This window comes from Homo sapiens, chromosome 11 (assembly GCF_000001405.40).
Source record: "Homo sapiens chromosome 11, GRCh38.p14 Primary Assembly".
Taxonomy (NCBI): domain Eukaryota; kingdom Metazoa; phylum Chordata; class Mammalia; order Primates; family Hominidae; genus Homo; species Homo sapiens.
Window position 1 is genome coordinate 32,930,955 of NC_000011.10, and position 19,466 is coordinate 32,950,420.

At 38.3% G+C, this 19,466-nt stretch overlaps 1 protein-coding gene across 9 annotated transcripts in view, besides 1 other annotated feature; it reads left to right on the forward strand.

Moving 5' to 3' along the window:
• Nucleotides 1–19,466, forward strand: part of QSER1 (glutamine and serine rich 1) — an 87,460-nt gene that overhangs the window by 38,144 nt on the left and 29,850 nt on the right. For 6 of the 9 annotated variants that reach the window (NM_001076786.3, NM_001416037.1, NM_001416036.1 and 3 more), the window contains one exon: nucleotides 789–4,481. In NM_001076786.3, coding sequence (NP_001070254.2) covers nucleotides 789–4,481 — 3,693 coding nt within the window. Of the gene's footprint in view, nucleotides 1–788; nucleotides 4,606–16,746; nucleotides 16,776–19,466 lie in introns of those variants that run through there. The other 3 variants (XM_047427613.1, XM_047427614.1, XM_047427611.1) reach the window with 2 other exon arrangements.
• Nucleotides 16,004–16,154: a silencer, noted in NCBI's record as "fragment chr11:32968504-32968654 (GRCh37/hg19 assembly coordinates)". NCBI's record gives its function as "represses an EF-1alpha promoter that drives an FKBP-Casp9 reporter gene in an ReSE screen in K562 erythroleukemia cells {active_cell/tissue: K562}" and the evidence as "EXISTENCE:reporter gene assay evidence [ECO:0000049][PMID:32094911]".

Here is a 19,466-nt window from a genome sequence, read left to right on the forward strand (position 1 = left end):
GTTGTTCATAGGAAGTGAAAGCTTGAAATGCAAGAGATTTTTAAAGTGAATATATTTTGGTAAAAGAAACTGCAGTTCACTGTTTTTTTATATTTATTTATCATGTTAGATGTAGGCAATTTAGCTTTTTTTTTTCCATTTTAATGTTATGTACATTTTGGTTTGTCCATTGGTATTTTGTGTTGGTACTTTGGGATAAATTAATCACTAGAGATATGTACATTTTTACTGATTTCTTCATTTTCCTATGACCTTATCAAACTATATATAAATTATATAACAATTACAGATATGAATTGCTGATATCATTGTAACTTCATTTTTACTCTATGAAAACTAGCTAATCCAGGCGTGGTGGCTTGCACCTATAATCCCATCACTTTGGTAGACCGAGATAGGAGGATCACTTGAGCCCAGGAGTTCAAGATAGCCTGAGCAACATTGCAAGACCCCATCTCTACAAAAATTTAAAAATTAGCCAGGTTTGGGAGTATGCGCCTGTAGTCTCAGCTACTTGGGACACTGCGGCTGCAGTGAGCTATGATCGCAAGACTGCACTCTAGCCTGGGCAACAGAGTAAGACCCTGTCTCTTAAAAAAAAAAGAAAAGAAAGAAAGAAGCTAGCTATTTTGAAATGTAATTTTCAAAATTTACATGCAGAACTAACTGGTCAGGTTTTTCAGTCTTAAGACATTTTGATGAGTTGAGGGTTATGTAAGTCATTACTATGAAAACATAAAGTAATTGTGCCATAATTACATAAAAATCTTTGTGCCTTTTCTTCATAGGCATGCATTCCTCAGCAGCAACTGAGCTGTTTGCTACTGGACCTTTGCCAAGCACTGGAACACTTCCACCATCTCTCTCTGCTTATCAGCATCCCACCACCTTCAGCAATAGAAACTTTGCTACCACTTCACCTTTGGTGCTTCAGGATTCAACTTTTAACACTACATCAAATGGAATTTTAAGTCATCATGACCCTTTGCTACAAATCAAGACTTCCCAGGGAACTGTTCCAACTGCTTTGGCATTTGAGCGCCTGGGCAGTTCTGTATTAAGTAACAGCATACCACCTCAGTCTTCAACATACCGCTCAGCTCAAGAGTCTGCACCCCATCTTTTACAACCTCAATTTAGTTTGTTGCCTTCAGCACTTGGGGGATCCCAGCAGACTCCTCAAGCCTACAGTTCAACTCTCTTTACTAGTTCTACTGCTTCCATTGAAAGAGCTCTTCTTCGAGAATGTAGTGTTATTAAACACCATCAGCGGCCTTCAGGTACCCAGTCAATTCAGGCACAACTGACTGGTTCACAGCACTCCTTACATAGTTATCTATCAAATTCAAGTGTAGTTAATTTTCAGGAAACAACCAGGCAGTCATCTTTATCCTGTAGCCCAATTGGAGATTCCACTCAGGTGAGCAACGGAGGATTACAACAGAAGACCTCCCAGGTCTCAGTGGAACTTGCTCAGTCTTACTCATCTGCGATTCCATCATCAGGGTATCCTCCTTCTACTACAAAAATAAAAAGCTGTTCTACAGAACAACCACTGACATCAACCAAGACCCCTAAACCTCAAAGTATAATTCCTCCTGTGCAAACACTAAGCTATTCCAAACCTTTACATAATCAGAGTTCTGTAATATCGGGCCAAGCACAAATTTATTCTACAGCGCAGCTACCAAGCCTTTTATCAGTTAGTCAGTCCCAAAATTACGGTTTAGTACAGCCACATAATGTGCCATCTATTGTTCATTCACAGGTTTATAGGTCCAGCAAGGTTGAGAAATTGCCACCCTTGTATAAAACATTGACTTTTTCTGGGTCATCTCAGACTGTAACTCCTGAAAATCAGACGCTTAATTATTCATCTAATCAGCAAGAGGTATTGTCTTCAGTTACAAATGAGAATTACCCTGCTCAAACAAGAGATCTGTCTTCAGTAAGTCAGTCTCAAAGTTACTCATCTGGTCACTCTCAGGGTTTATCACCAGTTAGCCAGACACAGGTTAGCTATTCATCTCAATCACAAGTTTTGTCAGTTGTTAGTCTTTCAGAAAGCTATGCTTCAGGGGAGTCCCTAACATTAACAGCCCCTTCTCTTTCTTATTCTTCTGCCTCTCGGGCTCAGAATTTGCCAGACTCTAGCCCGACCCAGAATTATATTTCTATGCATTCTTCCCAAAATGTTCAGACTCAAGAGTCATCATCTCCCCAGTCCCAGAAGTTTTTGCCTGCTGTCCAGTCATCATCTTTTGCATCCTCTACTCATTGTCAGACATTACAAAATAACATAACTTCCCCTGACCCAAAGTCTTATGCTGAAAGAAAGCTTGACTCAGATGTGTATCCATCTTCAAAGCAAGAAGATGGTTTTCCAATGCAAGAGTTACAGGTGTTGCAGCCACAAGCATCTCTTGAGTCATCAACCCAAAGGCTATCTGATGGAGAAATTAATGCTCAAGAATCAACTTATAAGGTGTCAAAGGCAGATGACAGATATTCTCAGAGTGTAATCAGAAGTAATTCCCGTCTTGAAGATCAAGTTATTGGGGTTGCTCTGCAAGCATCAAAAAAAGAAGAAAGTGTTGTTGGTTCAGTGACACAACTTAACCAACAAATTGGCCAAGTCAATAATGCAGCTACCCTTGATCTTAAGAACTCAACTAATTTAATACAGACTCCACAAATAAGGTTGAATACTAAAGACTTAAAGCAGCAACATCCTCTCATACTTAAGGTGCATGAGTCCAAGGTCCAGGAACAGCACGATCAAATAATTAATGCTTCATCTCAGATTCAAATTCCAAATCATGCTTTAGGGCATGGCCATCAGGCATCTCTTCCTAATACACAGGTCCTTTTAGATTCTGCCTGTGATTTACAAATTCTTCAGCAGTCAATACTGCAGGCAGGTTTAGGTCAAGTAAAGGCATCTTTACAAGCACAGCGTGTTCAAAGCCCTCAACAAATAGTACATCCCTTCCTTCAGATGGAAGGTCATGTTATTCAAAGCAATGGTGATCATTCTCAGCAGCAACTCCATCCTCAAAATTCTGAAGTTATGAAAATGGACCTCTCTGAGTCTTCAAAACCATTACAACAACATCTAACAACAAAGGGCCATTTTAGTGAAACAAATCAACATGATTCAAAGAATCAGTTTGTTTCTCTTGGATCGATGTGTTTCCCAGAGGCAGTGCTTCTTAGTGATGAAAGAAATATTTTATCAAATGTAGATGATATCTTAGCAGCTACAGCAGCAGCTTGTGGAGTTACACCTACTGATTTTTCCAAGTCAACTTCAAATGAAACCATGCAGGCTGTTGAAGATGGTGATTCTAAATCTCATTTTCAGCAGTCATTAGATGTCAGGCATGTGACTTCAGATTTTAACTCTATGACAGCTACAGTAGGAAAGCCACAGAATATAAATGATACTTCCTTAAATGGAAATCAGGTTACTGTGAACCTTTCACCAGTACCTGCCCTTCAGTCAAAAATGACTCTTGATCAACAGCACATTGAAACACCTGGTCAAAATATACCAACTAAAGTAACTTCAGCAGTGGTTGGACCAAGTCATGAAGTCCAGGAGCAAAGTTCTGGCCCATTCAAGAAACAGTCTGCTACCAATCTTGAATCTGAAGAAGACAGTGAAGCTCCTGTTGATAGTACATTAAATAATAACAGAAACCAAGAGTTTGTTTCTAGTAGTAGAAGTATAAGTGGAGAGAATGCTACATCAGAGAGTGAATTTACCTTAGGGGGTGACGACAGTGGTGTGTCAATGAACCCAGCTAGGAGTGCACTTGCACTGTTGGCCATGGCCCAATCTGGGGATGCAGTCAGTGTCAAGATTGAAGAAGAAAACCAAGATTTAATGCATTTTAACCTTCAAAAGAAAAGAGCTAAAGGAAAAGGGCAAGTTAAAGAGGAAGACAACAGTAATCAGAAACAGCTGAAAAGACCTGCCCAAGGCAAACGCCAGAATCCAAGGGGAACAGATATTTACTTACCGTATACTCCTCCTTCCTCAGAAAGCTGCCATGATGGTTATCAGCATCAAGAAAAAATGAGACAGAAGATCAAAGAGGTGGAGGAAAAACAACCAGAAGTCAAAACAGGATTTATTGCTTCTTTCTTAGATTTTCTGAAATCCGGGCCCAAGCAGCAGTTTTCCACTCTTGCTGTACGAATGCCTAACAGGACTAGACGGCCAGGGACCCAGATGGTTCGTACATTTTGTCCCCCACCACTTCCCAAGCCTTCATCTACAACACCCACACCTTTAGTGTCTGAAACTGGCGGTAACAGTCCATCAGATAAAGTTGATAATGAACTTAAAAACTTGGAACATTTATCTTCATTTTCTTCTGATGAAGATGATCCTGGATATAGTCAAGATGCTTATAAAAGCGTCTCTACTCCCTTAACTACTTTGGATGCTACTTCTGATAAAAAGAAGAAAACAGGTAAAGTTTTACAATTTAGATTCATAATTATTACTTTCTTCTATTTTTCCAGCTATAGCCCACATTTTAAGCTTTTTTCACTTAAAGCAGGTCTGCAAGTACATTTTCAGGACAAAATGTATAGGTAGGTATCTTAAGGACTTATTTTTTAAATTTTTCTTGCCTATAGGAAAGGTCTATGTTTTAGGTTAAGTAGTTCTGCTTTTTCTTGGCTTTTTGCCAAAGGCAGCATAATCTGTACAGTATGCCATCTAATCTGAGACATCTTGAGGTAATTGAGGCACTGTATTGTGGGCATTGCTGTAGTATAAACCTGGTACATTTTCTTAGTTTGCCAATTTTATCTGAAGATTAACATTTTATTATTAAATATGGTTATGTTTAAATATGTTGCAATAGTCCAGGTGACAAATGATAGCTTTTTTCAGATGAGGCAACAGGGATGTTATAGAGTTAAAATCTGAACCATTAAATGTGGTTATGTGCAGCATGCACACTAATATAATTAAGATAAAACTTAAAAATTTTATGCTGGCTTCAGATTATATACCCAAATCTTTGGGTATGTGTTTCACTTTACTCTGTGGCTAAGGGAGCTTTAGAGGAAATTTTTTTTTTTATACTTTAAGTTTTAGGGTACATGTGCACAACGTGCAGGTTAGTTACATATGTATACATGTGCCATGTTGGTGGGCTGCACCCATAACTCGTTATTTAACATTAGGTATATCTCCTAATGCTGTCCCTCCCCCCTCCCTCCAGCCCACAACAGGCCCTGGTGTGTGATGTTCCCCTTCCTGTGCCCATGTGTTCTCATTGTTCAATTCCCACCTGAGTGAGAACACGTGGTGTTTGGTTTTTTGTCCTTGCAATAGTTTGCTGAGAATCATGGTTTCCAGCTTCATCCATGTCCCTACAAAGGACATGAACTCATCCTTTTTTATGGCTGCATAGTATTCCATGGTGTATATGTGCCACATTTTCTTAATCCAGTCTATCATTGTTGGACATTTGGCATATTTTAAGAAGCAATGACTTATGTAAACAATTGGCAGTAAGTATGGTATTTTCTATTGTAAGAAACATGCCAAGGAAAAATTTATTTGTAACAATAATATAACTACCACCTCTGTGCCAGGAACTAGTAGCAATGTTGTGAGATACACATTGTTATCTCCAATATACAGATGATATAACTGAGAATAAATGAATTATGTGGGCCCATACCTCTAGTAAGTGACAGAGCTGGAATCTGAACCCAGGTTTTTCTGGTTCTAGAGCCTACATTCTTTCTCAGCTCTTTAGGATAAATAGGGTGGTGCTTTAAGACTTAAACCTTGTTTTGTAACATACTTCCCAGCTTCTCTCTGGACTTGACTACCTTTAACTACTAAAGTGTTACGAGACAGCTGGTATCCAAATAACCTGTTAGCATAAATATCTGATAATACATTTCTAAAGAATTCTCATTTCATTACACAGGGAAATTAACATGATAGAAAGTCAGTCTCAGATTCAAAGACATTACTACCATGGATGTGTCTAATCCTAATATGGTTTTATAACGTCTCACCCAGTTCAGAGTGCTTTGCAATCGCTATTATATTCCCTCTTACATTCCCAGAATGAACCTTTTGAAATCTCTGTTCTAAAACATGAGTCTAAAACTAGTTTCTTCCAGAGATATGTTATCTCATTTTTAGTTAAAATCATCATCATAAACCCGATCCTTACTATTAGGTCTTTGAAGTTGTCTTATCACCATCCCTGTTGCCTCATCTGAAAAAAGCTATCATTTGTCACTTGGACTATTGCAACTGATTACTCATTACAGACTTTTCTTTTTTTTCTTTTTTTATTATTTTAAGAGACAGAGTCTTGCTCTGTCACCCAGGCTGGAGTACAGTGGTGTGATCTTGGCACATTGAAACCTCAAACTCCTGGGCCCAGGCAATCTTCCTTCCTCAGCCTCCTGAGCAACTGGGACTATAGGCACATGCCACCATGCCTGGCTAATTTTTTTTTAATCTGTTGTAGAGATGGGATCTTGCTGTATTGCCCAGGCTGGTCTTGAACTCCTGGCCTCGAGCAGTCCTCCCACCTTGGCCTCCCAAAGTGCTGGGATTATAGGCATGAGCCACTGCGCCTGGCCTAGAATTTTTTCTCGCCAGTCTCTATGCCAGTCCATCCTCCACATTGTCAACAGATTCAACTTTATAAAAAAGGAAAGCTGATTGTTACTTCTATTTCAAAACACCTCTGTGCTTCATGGGAAAAATAAAGATTATATGTAAAAATTCCTTTTTCCATGTTTTACTCTCTTTCCACTGTCCCTCTGCTGTGACAATTGAATTTTTCATTGTTTCTTGGATGTCTCTCCCCCTTCTACAGTTGTGAACCTTTGAACACATTTTTCTCTTTGTAGACTACTCTCTTCTCCAGTTTTTAGTCTAGAAGATACTTATTGATCTTTAAAGACTATTTTCAAAGTCATGTTGTAGACATTATTCCAGACAGAATTAGTGCTCCTATCCTTTGAATTCCCACAGCTCTTAAATTTCAATGAAAGCATTTACTTTTGTGTTTTAATGTGTTCATTTACATTTGTATATTTCATTAGAAAGTGAGTTCCTTCAAGCTAGTGAAGGGTTATGGTTGAGAATTTAGGCTTTAGAGTTAAATCACCTTGGGTTCAAATTCTAGAATCATAGTGCTGTGACTTTAGGGCATGTTCCTCATCTGTAAAATGGGACATGGTGATACAGTCAGTATATAGTAACCTCTCAGGTTTTTGAGAGGACTCAGGGACATAAAGAACGTCATGCACAACCTGAGTCATTAATTGTAGTTATTATACTGCAATCATCTTTGTATTTGCAAGACCTGAAGTGTAGCAGGTACTCAAATAATGAGTGAGGGTATGTAAAAGAAAAGTAGAACATTGAGGTGATCGTGAGTTAAAGTAGCCAGGTTTTGATTTTAATTTTGTGAGTAGAATTCTGACTTTTGCACATAGGTTGCACAGTCCCAAACAGTTTAAATGAAGTCACAGAGATATATGATGAGCCTGTGGTACTCCACATTTCACAGTTCCATGGTAAATAACTTAAACGTGAGTATATCTTCCACTGATGCTAGTTTCCAAATACTTGTAATATTTTCTGGAACATAGGCTTGCTGTTAGTTTTTTGTGGACTGCTGTAGCCATTCTGAGCATATGAAGATGTCTTTAGTTGCACCTGTTTCCTCCTGTTTTTTGACTTTAAATTATTCAGATGCCTAAAGGGCATATTCCTTGCTCTAAAATAATAAAGTTTTCTAGTAAAGTTTGTGATAAAATAATTATAAAGTAAGAATTATTTACATATTTACTTGCAGTATAGGAGTTGGATTAAGAAAAAAAAAACTAATGGAACTGTATCTTGTATCAACATAAACTAAATCCTGGGCTCTTTTAGGCAAGATGGTACACAGTTGTCTAACACTCTGAATTCTATATTTGCATTAAAAAGACCAATGGAGTATAAAAACCCATCCCTAGTTTTGAATCCTGAAACTAGGGTTAGGTGCTATTTTCACCATTCCTTACTCCTTTCAGATTGAATTAAAATGTAGTATAAAACTAGTTTTTGCACTACTAAAATGTTTCTGAATCTGTATCAAGTAATTTACTATTATCAAGTCAGTGGAAGTAGAATGTTAGAGCTATATAGTCTAGTTACAATTTGATTTCATTCAAAGTGACTGGTATGTTTTTTCAAAATGAAGGCCAAACTGACGAACAGCACTCAGCCCCTACTTCACAGGCACCCAGATCTCAAGAATGTAATGAAACCAAAAGTGGTGTTTCCCTTCAGTTTTGTTTGCATCTCTGGATAAAATGGACTTGGCTGAAATGTGTTGAAAGCTTAAAAAAATGTGTAATACCACCATCAGTTTTCTGGGCTCCTTGAAGATCTTTTAAAACTTAAAATTTGGGTTTTAATTTTTTTTTAAGGTTTGTTTTAGTTCTTTGTCTCTGAAATTTATTTGGCATTCTGGGATGTTCTGGGTCTTTGTATACTGAGTAATTTTGGATTTTATCTTGGACATTTTGAGTACTGTATTGTAAAACTGTAGGTTCTATTAACATCCTCTGAAGAATATTGATTTATTTTGTTCTGTTTTAGCAGGCAGTCAGAACATAAGTTCTGTCTTACTTTTTGTGAATGGTGTTTCCAGTGTCAGTTCTGTTTTCAAGGCTTTTGCTTTGCTGTTGTAGGTCTGTTTTAGCAGTTAGCCTAGAACTTGGGTGGGTTGTAGACTATGTTGTAGTTCAGATCTCAAAGCCTTTCTTTTGCTAGTTTTGGTCTGTCTTACACTTGTGCATCCTAGGTATGAAACGCTGATTTGTGTGGGTCCATACATAGAATGAGAAGATCCCATTCTCCAGCTCCCTTTTCCCTGGGATTTTTCCCTACACTGTCCAGATCCCAGGGTCCCTTTTCCTAGTCTGTTGCCTAGAAGACTGAGATTTTTTTTTTTTTTTTTTTTTGAGATTTATCTTCCCAGGCTTTGACATAATTCTCTGCAACTGGGACTGCCCTTGGGGCAATGCAGTGAAAGAAATGAAGGAACAGGGATTCTCCCTATTCTCTTGATGCCTTAGGGGCCTTGTTTCTAGGTTCCTTTTGCCAACAAGACAAGCATTCTGTTAGGATTTTAGATTTCTGATTCATTATTACTGCATTTCAGCTCTGTGACTTGGGCCTCTCTCTGGACAGAGTTGGAAACAAAAAAGAGAAAAAAGAAACAGATTTTCCCCTTACTGTTAGCCTTGCACAAGGCTTCTTTACCCATTCCTCTGGCCAGAAAGTTAGGGTTTTTCTTGAAGTTTTGTTGCTTTTGTGTTGTATAGTTTTGCTTAGGGACTATCATGATCCCTGCTTGGTCATGACAGATTATTTTAATCTGTTGAAAGATTTAACTTGCTAGTATTTTATTTGAGATTTTTACACTTAGATTCATAAGTGAGATTAGCTTATAGTATTTTTTGTCTTAATCTGACTCACTTTTGTATTCAGGATTATGTTGGTCATACAAATTAAACTGGGAGGTTTTTTTTCTGTTCATCCTAGCTTTGAAAGTTTATCATACATAATAGGGATTTGATAAAACTTTCTAAGAATAGATCTAACTAACTGTCTTTCCAGTTTTTCTTGAGGTCGCTTGGTCTGTCTAGGTCAATTTAAGAAAGTTACATTTTCTAGGAAAATCATTCATTTAGATTGTAAACTTTGTTGTAAAGTTGTCCATAGTAATCCTTAAGTTTTAGTCTCTTCTACCTCTGTAGTTATACCCTCTTTCTTCCTCTAAATGATTATTTGCATTTTTTCCTTGTCAGTCTGTGAAAGGTTTTTGCCTAATAAATGGTTCTTTTTAAAGAACCAAACTACTTTTATTTTTTTGCTCCTGTTATTTTTTACTTTTTTTTCTTAATGTCTGGTTTTATCTTAATTCTTTTGCCCTTTATTCCTTGGGTATAATTTGATCATCTCTTTCTGGCTTCTTGAGTTTAATACTTAGTTTATTTTTGTATTTTTTATCTAATGAATGGCATTTAAGCTGTCAGTTTTCTTCTTTGCACCACACTTTGACCATATCTCATGGTTTCAGTTTATAATGCTCTCACTTTCTTTTCGAACTGGCTTATTATTTCAGTTTTGATTTCCTTTTTAGCCCAGGATTTATGAAGAATGGTCAGGGGTTCTTTGTCTGTTTCCTAGTAGTTTTTGTTTTTATTATTATTATTATTATTATTATTTTTAATTATTATACTTTAAGTTTTAGGGTACATGTGCACATTGTGCAGGTTAGTTACATACGTATACATGTGCCATGCTGGTGTGCTGCACCCACTAACTCGTCATTTAGCATTAGGTATATCTCCCAATGCTATCCCTCCCCCCTCCACCCCCCACAACAGTCCCCAGAGTGTGATGTTCCCCTTCCTGTGTCCATGTTATCTCACTGTTCAGTTCCCACCTATGAGTGAGAATATGCGGTGTTTGGTTTTTTGTTCTTGCGATAGTTTACTGAGAATGATGATTTCCAATTTCATCCATGTCCCTACAAAGGACACGAACTCATCATTTTTTGTGGCTGCATAGTATTCCATGGTGTATATGTGCCACATTTTCTTAATCCAGTCTATCATTGTAGGACATTTGGGTTGGTTCCAAGTCTTTGCCATTCTGAATAATGCCACAATAAACATACATGTGCATGTGTCTTTATAGCAGCATGATTTATAGCCCTTTGGGTATATACCCAGTAATGGGATGGCTGGGTCAAATGGTATTTCTAGTTCTAGATCCCTGAGCAATCGCCACACTGACTTCCACAATGGTTGAACTAGTTTACAGTCCCACCAACAGTGTAAAAGTGTTCCTATTTCTCCACATCCTCTCCAGCACCTGTTGTTTCCTGACTTTTTAATGATTGCCATTCTAACTGGTGTCAGATGGTATCTCATTGTGGTTTTGATTTGCATTTCTCTGATGGCCAGTGATGGTGAGCATTTTTTCATGTGTCTTTTGGCTGCATAAATGTCTTCTTTTGAGAAGTGTCTGTTCATGTCCTTCGCCCACTTTTTGATGGGGTTGTTTGTTTTTTTCTTGTAAATTTGTTTGAGTTCATTGTAGATTCTGGATATTAGCCCTTTGTCAGATGAGTAGGTTGCGAAAATTTTCTCCCATTTTGTAGGTTGTCTGTTCACTGTGATGGTAGTTTCTTTTGCTGTGCAGAAGCTCTTTAGTTTAATTAGATCCCATTTGTCAATTTTGTCTTTTGTTGCCATTGCTTTTGGTGTTTTAGACATGAAGTCCTTGCCCATGCCTATGTCCTGAATGGTAATGCCTAGGTTTTCTTCTACGGTTTTTATGGTTTTAGGTCTAACGTTTAAGTCTTTAATCCATCTTGAATTGATTTTTGTATAAGGTGTAAGGAAGGGATCCAGTTTCAGCTTTCTACATATGGCTAGCCAGTTTTCCCAGCACCATTTATTAAATAGGGAATCCTTTCCCCATTGCTTGTTTTTCTCAGGTTTGTCAAAGATCAGATAGTTGTAGATGTGCGGCATTATTTCTGAGGGCTCTGTTCTGTTCCATTGATCTATATCTCTGTTTTGGTACCAGTACCATGCTGTTTTGGTTCCTGTAGCCTTGTAGTATAGTTTGAACTCAGGTAGTGTGATGCCTCCAGCTTTGTTCTTTTGGCTTAGGATTATCTTGGCAATGCGGGCTCTTTTTTGGTTCCATATGAACTTTAAAGTAGTTTTTTCCAATTCTGTGAAGAAAGGCATTGGTAGCTTGATGGGGATGGCATTGAATCTGTAAATTACCTTGGGCAGTATGGCCATTTTCACAATATTGATTCTTCCTACCCATGAGCATGGAATGTTCTTCCATTTGTTTGTATCCTCTTTTATTTCATTGAGCAGCGGTTTGTAGTTCTCCTTGAAGAGGTCCTTGACATCCCTTGTAAGTTGGATTCCTAGGTATTTTATTCTCTTTGAAGCAATTGTAAATGGGAGTTCACTCATGATTTGGCTCTCTGTTTGTCTGTTGTTGGTGTATAGGAATGCTTGTGATTTTTGCACATTGATTTTGTATCCTGAGACTTTGCTGAAGTTGCTTATCAGCTTAAGGAGATTTTGGGCTGAGACAATGGGGTTTTCTAGATATACAATCATGTAATCTGCAAACAGGGACAATTTGACTTCCTCTTTTCCTAATTCAATACCCTTTATTTCCTTCTCCTGCCTAATTGCCCTGGCCAGAACTTCCAACACTATGTTGAATAGGAGTGGTGAGAGAGGGCATCCCTGTCTTGTGCCAGTTTTCAAAGGGAATGCTTCCAGTTTTTGCCCATTCAGTATGATATTGGCTGTGGGTTTGTCATAGATAGCTCTTATTATTTTGAAATATGTCCCATCAATACCTAATTTATTGAGGGTTTTTAGCATGAAGCGTTGTTGAATTTTGTCAAAGGCCTTTTCTGCATCTATTGAGATAATCATGTGGTTTTTGTCTTTGGCTCTGTTTATATGCTGGATTACATTTATTGATTTGCGTATATTGAACCAGCCTTGCATCCCAGGGATGAAGCCCACTTGATCATGGTGGATAAGCTTTTTGATATGCTGCTGGATTCGGTTTGCCAGTATTTTATTGAGGATTTTTGCATCAATGTTCATCAAGGATATTGGTCTAAAATTCTCTTTTTTGGTTGTGTCTCTGCCTGGCTTTGGTATCAGAATGATGCTGGCCTCATAAAATGAGTTAGGGAGGATTCCCTCTTTTTCTATTGATTGCAATAGTTTCAGAAGGAATGGTACCAGTTTCCTCCTTGTACCTCTGGTAGAATTCGGCTGTGAATCCATCTGGTCCTGGACTCTTTTTGGTTGGTAAGCTATTGATTATTGCCACAATTTCAGATCCTGTTATTGGTCTATTCAGAGATTCAACTTCTTCCTGGTTTAGTCTTGGGAGAGTGTATGTGTCAAGGAATTTATCCATTTCTTCTAGATTTTCTAGTTTATTTGCGTAGAGGTGTTTGTAGTATTCTCTGATAGTAGTTTGTATTTCTGTGGGATTGGTGGTGATATCCCCTTTATCATTTTTTATTGCATCTATTTGATTCTTCTCTCTCTTTTTCTTAATTAGTCTTGGTAGCAGTCTATCAATTTTGTTGATCCTTTCAAAAAACCAGCTCCTGGATTCATTAATTTTTTGAAGGGTTTTTTGTGTCTCTATTTCCTTCAGTTCTGCTCTGATTTTAGTTATTTCTTGCCTTCTGCTAGCTTTTGAATGTGTTTGCTCTTGCTTTTCTAGTTCTTTTAATTGTGATGTTAGGGTGTCAATTTTGGATCTTTCCTGCTTTCTCTTGTGGGCATTTAGTGCTATAAATTTCCCTCTACACACTGCTTTGAATGCATCCCAGAGATTCTGGTATGTTGTGTCTTTGTTCTCGTTGGTTTCAAAGAACGTCTTTATTTCTGCCTTCATTTCATTATGTACCCAGTAGTCATTCAGGAGCAGGTTGTTCAGTTTCCATGTAGTTGAGTGGTTTTGAGTGAGATTCTTAAACCTGAGTTCTAGTTTGATTGCACTGTGGTCTGAGAGATAGTTTGTTATAATTTCTGTTCTTTTACATTTGCTGAGGAGAGCTTTACTTCCAAGTATGTGGTCAATTTTGGAATAGGTGTGGTGTGGTGCTGAAAAAAATGTATATTCTGTTGATTTGGGGTGGAGAGTTCTGTAGATGTCTATTAGGTCCACTTGGTGCAGAGCTGAGTTCAATTCCTGGGTATCCTTGTTGACTTTCTGTCTCGTTGATCTGTCTAATGTTGACAGTGGGGTGTTAAATTCTCCCATTATTAATGTGTGGGAGTCTAAGTCTCTTTGTAGGTCACTCAGGACTTGCTTTATGAATCTGGGTGCTCCTGTATTGGGTGCATATATATTTAGGATAGTTAGCTCTTCTTGTTGAATTGATCCCTTTACCATTACGTAATGGCCTTCTTTGTCTCTTTTGATCTTTGTTGGTTTAAAGTCTGTTTTATCAGAGACTAGGATTGCAACCCCTGCCTTTTTTTGTTTTCCATTTGCTTGGTAGATCTTCCTCCATCCTTTTATTTTGAGCCTATGTGTGTCTCTGCACGTGAGATGGGTTTCCTGAATACAGCACACTGATGGGTCTTGACTCTTTATCCAATTTGCCAGTCTGTGTCTTTTAATTGGAGCATTTAGTCCATTTACATTTAAAGTTAATAGTGTTATGTGTGAATTTGATCCTGTCATTATGATGTTAGCTGGTTATTTTGCTCGTTAGTTGATTCAGTTTCTTCCCAGTCTCGATGGTCTTTACATTTTGGCATGATTTTGCAGCGGCTGGTACCGGTTGTTCCTTTCCATGTTTAGCGCTTCCTTCAGGAGCTCTTTTAGGGCAGGCCTGGTGGTGACAAAAGCTCTCAGCATTTGCTTGTCTGTAAAGTATTTTATTTCTCCTTCACTTATGAAGCTTAGTTTGGCTGGGTATGAAATTCTGGGTTGAAAATTCTTTTCTTTAAGAATGTTGAATATTGGCCCCCACTCTCTTCTGGCCTGTAGAGTTTCTGCCGAGAGATCCGCTGTTAGTCTGATGGGCTTCCCTTTGAGGGTAACCCGACCTTTCTCTCTGGCTGCCCTTAACATTTTTTCCTTCATTTCAACTTTGGTGAATCTGACAATTATGTGTCTTGGAGTTGCTCTTCTCGAGGAGTATCTTTGTGGCGTTCTCTGTATTTCCTGAATCTGAACGTTGGCCTGCCTTGCTAGATTGGGGAAATTCTCCTGGATAATACCCTGCAGAGTGTTTTCCAACTTGGTTCCATTCTCCCCATCACTTTCAGGTACACCAATCAGACGTAGATTTGGTCTTTTCACATAGTCCCATATTTCTTGGAGGCTTTGCTCGTTTCTTTTTATTCTTTTTTCTCTAAACTTTCCTTCTCGCTTCATTTCATTCATTTCATCTTCCATTGCTGATACCCTTTCTTCCAGTTGATCGCATCGGCTCCTGAGGCTTCTGCATTCTTCACGTAGTTCTCGAGCCTTGGTTTTCAGCTCCGTCAGCTCCTTTAAGCACTTCTCTGTATTGGTTATTCTAGTTATACATTCTTCTAAATTTTCTTCAAAGTTTTCAACTTCTTTGCCTTTGGTTTGAATGTCCTCCCGTAGCTCAGAGTAATTTGATCGTCTGAAGCCTTCTTCTCTCAGCTCGTCAAAGTCATTCTCTGTCCAGCTTTGTTCCCTTACTGGTGAGGAGCAGCGTTCCTTTGGAGGAGGAGAGACGCTCTGATTTTTAGAGTTTCCAGTTTTTCTGTTCTGCTTTTTCCCCATCTTTGTGGTTTTATCTACTTTTGGTCTTTGATGATGGTGATGTATAGATGGGTTTTTGGTGTGGATGTCCTTTCTGTTTGTTAGTTTTCCTTCTAACAGACAGGACCCTCAGCTGCAGGTCTGTTGGAGTACCCTGCAGTGTGAGGTGTCAGGGTGCCCCTGCTGGAGGGTGCCTCCCAGTTAGGCTGCTCGGGGTTCAGTGACCCACTTTAGGAGGCAGTCTGCCCGTTCTCAGATCTCCAGCTGCGTACTGGGAGAACCACTGCTCTCTTCAAAGCTGTCAGACAGGGACATTTAAGTCTGCAGAGGTTACTGCTGTCTTTTTGTTTGTCTGTACCCTGCCCCCAGAGGTGGAGCCTACAGAGGCAGGCAGGCCTCCTTGAGCTGTGGTGGGCTCCACCCAGTTCAAGCTTCCCGGCTGCTTTGTTTACCTAAGCAAGCCTGGGCAATGGTGGGCGCCCCTACCCCAGCCTCGCTGCCACCTTGCAGTTTGATCTCAGACTGCTGTGCTAGCAATCAGCGAGACTCCGTGGGGTAGGACCCTCCAAGCCAGGTGCGGGATATAATCTCGTGGTGCGCCGTTTTTTAAGCCCGTCAGAAAAGTGCAGTATTCGGGTGGGAGTGACCTGATTTTCCAGGTGCCGTCCGTCACCCCTTTCTTTGATTAGGAAAGGGAACTCCCTGACCCCTTGCGCTTCCCGAGTGAGGCAATGCCTCACCCTGCTTTGGCTCGCGCACGGTGCGTGCACCCACTGACCTGCACCCACTGTCTGGCACTCCCTAGTGAGATGAACCCGGTACCTCAGATGGAAATGCAGAAATCACCCGTCTTCTGCGTCGCTCAGGCTGGGAGCTGTAGACCGGAGCTGTTCCTATTCGGCCATCTTGGCTCCTCCCCCTGTTTTAATTATTAATTTGACTCTTTTGTATTGTGTTCAGGGAATATGTTCACATTTTGAAATTTATGGAAATTTTGTTAGTAGTTTGGTAAATGGTCCATTTTTATAGATATTCCACTTTTTATAAATACTAAGTACTAATAGATTTCATTAATAGTGTTCAAATCCTTTATATCTTTTTTATTTAATAAATGATATTAGGTTATTTAAGAAAATGTTTATATGTGTGTATATTTTGGAGATAAATGACATGTATGGAATTTGGCTTAAAATAGCCCAGCAAATATAAAAGGGAGTGATGGATAGATTAAACAGATGAACCAAAATGTTTGTGCTTGTTACAGCTGGGTTATAGTAGGGTTTGTATTCTCTACTTTTGTGTAGTCTAAAATTTTATAATAATAAAAAGTTTTAAAACTCCTCTCTACCCTTATTTGTTTTTAGATTGCTTGATCTGTTGATTCCTGAGAAAGGTGTGTTAAAGTTTTCCATTATGTTATATTATTTTTCTAATACTGTTTACTTGATATTTTGAACCCATGTAATTCAGTGCATAAAATTTTACTACAGTTAAATTTCCTTTTATCATAATAAAATCTCTTTTTCCCACTTAATGATTTCTGTTTTTAATACTGTCATACTAATGTTGTTATTAGCATTTTTTTAGTATTTTTCCATATCTATGTTTTCTTTTGGAACATTTTTTCTTGCGAAATACAACCCACATGTGAAAATCAAACATGCATAAAGAAAAATACAAAACAAAACTTCCACAGATTTGAAAATGCAGACATTATTCAAGCAGTATTCCCTGGGTACAGTGCAGCCGTTTCTAGAAAGAACAAAGAAAGGAACAAAGAAAAACTCACCCTTCCAAATAACTCTTGGCTTAAAAAGGAAACCAAAACTGAAATGACAAACTAATTGGAATGGACAGTGGAGCACTGTATACTGAAACTAATAGGATGTGGCCAGAGTGTGATGTGAAGAAGCAAATTTATAGTGTTAAATGTCATTCACTGGAAAGCAAGAAAATATCGAAATTAATTGAGTATTAAATTAAACTCACTCTTAACCTCTAGAGCAAATCACTAACTGACTTGGATGGTAATCACTTCCTTACTTAATATAATTTTACCATCTATGTATGCATCTCTAAAGACTATACTTTTTAGCTGGGGAAACATAGTGAGAGCCTATCTCTACAAAAAACAAAAAAACAGTTAGGTGGGCATGTTGGCATGTGCCTGTCGTCCTAGCTAATGTGGAGCCTGAGGCAGGAGTATCGGGTGAGCCCAGGAGTTTGAGGGGGCAGTGAGCTGGGATCACACCATTGCACTCCAGCCTGGGTGACAGAGCTAGATGCTATCTCTTAAAAAAACAAAACAAAACTATTCTTTGGTTTGTTTTAAAACTTCCTACAAAGGGCATATAAATAAAGTATTGATGAACTTTCCCTCTACTAGAAGTTATACATTCTTTTTTTAAAAAAATTTTGCTTTTTTCATAGAAATTTTCAAACATATACAAAAGTACAGAGATTGGCATAATGAAACCCAATTCTGGGGGCATCATCCATTTCAATAATCATGTGGTCCATCTTGCTTGATTCATACCTTTATCTAGGTGCCCACTCCCTGATTATTTTGGTGAAATATTTCTTTTCTTTTCCTGGTTACAATAGAAATTACAACATGCACTTTTAGCTTCTCCAAATCTGTCAATATCTTCCTTTTTCTGGATAATACAGATTTTTTAACACTGGAGCTCCATTTAATCCCCTCCTGACATAAATGTTATTGTTACTACATATTTAATTCTATCATCATTAATAGTCTTTTAAATAGTCATTTGTTTACATTTACTTATATATTTCCCAGTTTACCCTTCATTCATTCTTGTATCTCATAGCTTCTCCTTGGGATTATCTGACTAAAGCAGACTAAATACTAAAATACCTTTAGTATTTCCTTTTCTCAGAGTCTGCTGCAGCATCTCTGTTTTTGTTCACAGATAACTATGTGACTTGTTTTGACATATAACTTAGAAAGTATTTGTAGAAGTCAGTGACATTGCTATAACAAAGTCACTTTTATTCCTTAATTTACCCATTATTTATATGAACATGGTTTCTAAGTTTTTATATCAATAAAAGTGAAGGACAAATAAAATTGGTTGTAAAATCTATCTCAATAAGTACTGTCCATGTATCCATGTATGAATAATTTTTAAGTGCCATGTCCAACAGAAGCATGAGTTTTACATTTAATACTTGTCAAAATGTGAAAAGATAGTATAATTTGGATCAACTATGCAATTGTATAATGTTAGAAATGTTTAACATTTTGAGCCTTCAGTTACAAGACAAATCAGTTTCCATTTACATACATATTTTTGTGACAGAAAAGTATGACAATGTAACTATAGCATTATAGAAATATGTTAGGATAAAATAACATAGTATGGGCTCCTAACGTGATTAGAATATTCATCTGTATTTCCTCAACAGGTCTTTTCCCTTGAGTGGGAAATGTATAAATATATGAGAATAGCTTTAATTTGGGACAAGAACAGGTAGGCTGGCTGGTAGCAACAAGGAGGTCTTTATTTGTCAAGCACTTTAGTTCATGGATTTCCCCTGCCAGTCTGCATTTCCACTTTTTCTGTGTTGGAAGTCTGGATTTGCCTCAGGCCCTGCTTTGGTTTTCTCTCAGCTCCTCCACCACTCTAGGCAAGTAGAATTCACTCTCTTCAGAGTACAGCTTTTGCATTTTAGCCTATGGTCAAACACCCCTTCTGCCTACAGCTTAGTACAATTAAGGGGATCACTGGCCTTCCCTTTTTTTTTCTTTTTTTGAGAGGGAGTCTTGCTCTGTCACCCAGACTGGAGTGCAGTGTTGCAATCTAGGCTCACTGCAACCTCCGCCTCCCAGGTTCAAGCGATTCTCCTGCCTCAGCCTCCCGAGTAGCTGAGATTACAGACCCCTGCCATCACACCTGGCTAATTTTTGTATTTTAGTGGACACGGGGTTTTACCATGCTGGCCAGGCTGGTCTTGAACTCCTGACCTTAAGTGATCTGCCCACCCAGGCCTCCCAAAGTGCTGGGATTACAGGCATGAACCACTGTGCCTGGCCTGGCTTTCCCATTTTTATTTACTTATT